Genomic DNA, 5727 nt, shown 5'->3' with positions numbered 1-5727 from the left:
AACACCATTTGTTGAAAAGTCTATCTTTCCTGTATTGAACTGTTCTTACATCTTGGTCAAAAATCCACTGGACATATCTGTAGGGGTCTATTTCTAGATTCTTTAATCTATTACATTAATATATGTGTCTAATGTGTCTCTCTCTTCGCCAGCACTACACAGTCTTGATTACTGTAGCTTCAGAGTAAGCCTTGAAATTGGGTAGACTGATTACTCCCCCATTACTCTTCTTATTCAAAATTGTTTTAGCTTTTCTTTTTAAAAATTTCTAATGATCACTTTTATTTAGAAGCCCTGCATCTCTTTGTTTTGATCAAAAGTCACATAGCCTTACATCAGCATATTTTAAAAAAATTCTACCTAAAAGATAGTTCTATTTTTAAAATAACAAATAAATATATAGTTAGCTTGGAGAGACCTGGGGTAACTGACGTTGTCTAACAACTTTCATGATTATTTCTCTGCAAATGCTCTGCTGCTGCCATCGGAGTCCCTATGCTTCCTCTTGCAGAGGCCAACAGTTCTTCAATCTCAGCATTTAATTTGTGTATTACCCATTCCATTGCTTCTCAGCCTTGCCATCAGTCCTTCAAGGTAACTGCTGAGGCTGACTCCTTTCACAGTGATTATGGCTTCTTGAGTCAAAATAGTTTTTTTTCTGTCCCGAGGATGTGGCTTTTCTATAAGTCTCTCATCTACTGAAACCTTATTTGTAAATGAAATGTTAGTAGATTTAAGTTCCATTGTTTTCTCTACATGATCAACTACAGAATGTTCTTGCACATATGTTTTGGTTCTTGCTGCACCAATTAGAGACTTCACAATGGAAGCAGCCCCCTCTCTGTGCTGAGAAGGGAACCAGAGGGATCTATATGTCTGTCCAACACATCAACTCCAACCACACTCAGGCTCATAGAGTTTGGATATTTCTGCATTGCAACTGTTGTAACAATTTCCCACAGGTGGTCAAAGACGTGTGCCAAAGTCCATAACTTCATGGTGCTGGCAGCCTGTGGTGCTAGGGGACAATGAGGCAAAGAGGCTACACCTGCCCCTGACCCACCCCAAGCATCCCAGCCAGCCACACAGTGACAGACACCGTTGAGCCTGATGCAAGGGATGTCCCAACGCACTGCCTCATGCCCTATCCCAGCCCGGGTTTTGCCCCTTAGCTTTTTGTTTGGACTTTCCATATAAATTCCAGAATAATCTTGTCTACAGCTACCAAAAGATCTTGCTGAGTTTTTAATGGGAATTACATTAAACCACTATATCTATTTGGGGAGAACTGATATCTTTACTATGTTGAGTCTCCAATCCACCAACACGGACTATTATTCCCTTTATTTAGATCTTGTTATTTTTCATCACATTACATAATTTACAGCATAAATGTCCTGTACTTGTCTTGTTAGATTTATACCTATTTCATATTTTTGAGCGATTGTTAATATTACATTTTTAATTTAGATGTCCACGTGTTCATTGCTAGTTTGTAGAAATATAATTTTTTTCATATGTTCATCTCATGTCATGCAACCTTGTTGATCTCACTTATTGGTTCCATGAGGTGTTTTTTTTTTTTTTTTTGGCAGATTCTTCTGGATTTTCGATGTGGTCAATTACATCATCTGCAAATGGGGATAGTTTTATTTCTTTCTTCCCAAACTGTATGCCATTTACTTTCTTTTCTTACCTTATTGCACTGGCTAGGACTTCCAGCACTATGTTCAATAAAAGTGATAAAAGCAGCGTCCTTTCCGTGTTCCCAACTTTAGGGGGAAAGCTTCAGTCTTTCATGATTAAGTAAAATGTTAGCTGTAGGTCTTAAATCTGTAGGTCTTAAATCTGTGATTTTATTTTTTGTTTTCTGTTTGTTCTATTTTTTCATATAGATGCTCTTTATCAAGTAAGGTGGTCTCTTTCTAATCCTGTTTTTCTGGGAGTTTTTATCATGAATAACTGTTGAATTTTGTTAAATGCTTTTTCTGAATCTATTGATATTATTATGTGATCTTTCTTCTTTAGCCTGTTAATATAGTGGAGGTCACTGACTGATTTTTGAATGATGAACCAGGCTTGCATCCCTGAAAAAAACTCTGCTTAGTCTTAGTGTGTACATTTTTTACAATATAGCTGAATTCTACTTGCTAATATTTTATTAAGGAATTTTGTATCTATATTCACTAATGATTTTGGTCTGTAGTTTTCTTTTCTGTGTTGTCTTTGTCTGGTTTTGGTATTAAGGTAATATCGGCATTATAAAATATTGCCAATATTGGGAAGTGCTCGCTCCTCTTGTATTTTCTGAAAGAGAGAATGTAGAATTGGTTTAATTATGAGACAGGGTCTTGCTCTGTTACCCAGGTTGGAGTGCAGTGGTGTGACCTTAGCTCACTGCAACCATTGCCTCCCCGGTTCAGGTGATTCTTCTGCTTCAGCCTCCTGAGTAGCTGGGACCACAGGCTCATGCCACCATGCCCGGCTAATTTTATATATGTATATTTTGTAGAGATGTGGTTTTGCCATGTTGCGCAGGCTGTTCTCGAACTCCTGGGCTCAAGTGATCCGCCTGCCTCAGCCTCTCAAAGTGCTGGGAGTACAGGCGTGAGCCACTGCACCCAGGCAAGAATTGGTTTAGTAATTCTTTAAGTGTTTGGTAGAAATCTCCAGTGAAACAACTTGGGCCTGGAGATTTCCTTTTAGGGAGTTTTAAAATTATAAGTTCAATTTCTTTTTAGTTGTAGGGTTACTCAAATTATCTATTTCCTATTGAAGAGTTGTGGTACTTTGTGTTTTTCCAGGAATTGGTCCATTTCATCTAGATTGTCATATTTATAATATTTAGAGTTGTTCGTAGTATTCCCTTATTATCCTTTTGATGTCTGCAGTGTCTATAGTGATTTCACCTATTTCCTTCCTGATATTGACAATTTGTGTCTTTCTTTCCTACTTTGTCAGTCTTGCTAGAGGTTTGTCAATTTTATTGATCTTTTCAAAAAATCAGATCTTTGGTTAATTGATTTTTCCATTTGTGTGTGTGTTCAATGTCATTGATTTTTGTTCATTATTATTTTCTTCTCACTTTGGATTTATTTTGCTCATCTTTTACTACGTTCTTACAGGGGGATCATAGATTGATTTTGGACTTTTCCTCTTTTCTAACATATGCATTTAGTGCTATATATTTCCTTCTCGGTATTACTTTGGCTGCGTTCCACAAATTTGGACACATGGTATGTTTATTTTCACCCAGTTCAATGTATTTTTTAATTTCCCTTGAGATCTCTTTTTTGACTCCTTTGTTATTTAGATGTGTGTTCTTTAGTTTGAAGATTTTCCTGTTATCTTTCTCCAGTTTTAACTGGATATGTGTATATCTCCTTTCAGTTCTATCAGTTTTACTTCATGTGATTTGCAGCTCTGTTGTTTGGTGCATACACATTTAAGATTGCTATGTCTTTTTGGTGGATTGACCCTTTTATCATTATATAATGGCTCTCTCTGTCTCTGGAAATTTTCTTTGCTCTGAAGTCTGCTTTATCTGATATTAATACAGCCACCCTTGCTTTCTTTTGATTAATGTTTGCATGACATATTTTTCTATCCTTTTGCTTTTAACCTTCCTATATCATTATATTTGAAGTGAGTTTCTCATAGACAGTATACAGTTGGGTTGTGTTTTAAAATCCACTCTGCCAATCTCTCTCTTTTAAAGTTGACCTGCTTCTACCACTTACATTTAATGTAATTATTGATGTGTTAGGCCTTAAATCTCTGATTTTATTTTTTCCTTTCTGTTTGTTCTATTTTTCATTTCTCTGTTTTCTTTCTTCTGCTTTCCTGTGGGTTACTCATACTTCTGTTAAAATTTCATTTTATCTACAGCATTTTGGATAACTTTTGAAAAGCTTTGTATAGCTTTTTAGGTAGTGCTGTAGGTATTACATTATATATACATAACCCATTATAGTCTACTAGTGTCATTATTTTGCCAGTTTAAATGAAATATAGAAATTGTGTTTCCCTTTAAATCCTGTTGCCCTCCACTATTTATAATACAATTGTCTTAATATTTCCTCTGCATACTTTTAGAACCATATAAAACATGTCATTTTTACTTCAACTATTAAATATATTTTTAAAAAACTGAAGAATAGGTTGGGCACGGTGGCTCACGCCTGTAATCCTAGCACCTTGGGAGGCCGAGGCAGGCAGATCACTTGAGGTCAGGAGTTCGAGACCAGCCTGACCAACATGGTGAAACCCCATCTCTACTAAAAAAAACAAAAATTAGCCTGGCATGGTGGTGGGCACCTGTAATCCCAGCTACTTGGGAGGCTGAGGCAGGGGGAATTGCTTGAATTCGGGAGGGAGAGGTTGCAGTGAGCCAAGATTGTGCCATTGCACTTCAGCCTGGGTGACAGAGCGTCTCAAAACAAAACAAAACAAAACAAAAACTGAAGAATAGAAGGAAAAACTATTGTGTTTACTCTCCCCCTTTTTTGCTTATTGTATTCTTTCTGATGCTCCAAGTTTTCTTTTATCACTTCCTTTTCTGATGCTCCAAATTTCCCTCTTCTGTTTTTTCATTTGTTTAGAGAACTTCCTTTAGCCATTCTTTTAGAGTAATTCTGCTGGTGAAAAATTTAGTTTTTCTTCATCTGAGAATATCTTGGTTTCCTCTTCATTTCTGAAGAATATTTTTACTAACTATAGGATTCTGGATTGACAGTTCTTTTCTTTCAGCACTTGAAAAACACTGTACCACTTACTTATGGCCCCCATGGTTTCTGATAAGAAATCCACTGTCATTCAAATAGGTTTTTTCCCTGGGTGTTTTTTTTTTTTTTTTCCTGGCTGCTTTTAAGATTTTTCTCTTGGTCTCTGGGTTTCAGAAGTTTCATTATAATGTGTCTTGGTATAGATTTATTTGGGCTTTGTCTTCTTTGAGGTTTGCCCATCTTCTTGTCTCTTACCAAATTTGAGACGTTTTCAGCCATTATTCCTTTGGGTACTTTGTTGTTAAGATTGAGTACTTTTTATTATTCTATCTTCCTTCCACTGATTTTTTTCTCTGTTCCCTCTCTATCCTGGTATTATGTCCAACCACTGACTTTTTAATTTCAGTTATTGTGTTTAAGTTTTAAAATTTTCATTTGGTTCATCTTTATATATTATATTTGTTTCCTGAGGCTGTCTACTTTCTAATTTGTTTCAAGTGTGTTCAGAATTGCTTTTGAAGCATTTTTGTAATGGCTGCTTTGACATCTTTGTCATATAATTCTAACATCTCTGTCATCTTGGTATTGGCATTTATTGATTGGCTTTTCTTCATTTCATTTGAGAACTTCCTGGCTCTTGGTATGATTAGTGATTTTCAGTTGAAACTTGGACATTTTTGGGCCAGGCACGGTGGTGCATACCTGTAACCCCAGCACTTTGGGAAGCCAAGGCGCATGTATCACCTGAGGTCGGGAGTTTGCGACCACCCTGACCACCATGGAGAAACCCCGTCTCTACTAAAAATACAAAAAATTAGCCAGGCACAGTGATGCATGCCTGTAATCCCAGCTACTCGGGAAGCTGGGGTAGGAGAATCACTTGAACTCAGGAGGCGGAGGTTGCGGTGAGCCGAGATCGCGCCAGCCTGGGCAACAATAGCAAAACTCCGTATCACAAAAAAAAAAAAAGAAAGAAAGAAACTTGGACATTTTTATAAGGCTA

General features: G+C 36.8%; 1 pseudogene; it reads right to left on the bottom strand.

Moving 5' to 3' along the window:
* On the bottom strand, positions 264-1041 carry PRELID3BP3 (PRELI domain containing 3B pseudogene 3; annotated as a pseudogene).

This window comes from Homo sapiens, chromosome 17, assembly GCF_000001405.40.
Source record: "Homo sapiens chromosome 17, GRCh38.p14 Primary Assembly".
Lineage (NCBI taxonomy): Eukaryota > Metazoa > Chordata > Mammalia > Primates > Hominidae > Homo > Homo sapiens.
The sequence above is the reverse complement of the archived record's forward strand: the minus strand, read 5'-3'. Positions and strand labels throughout refer to the sequence as shown.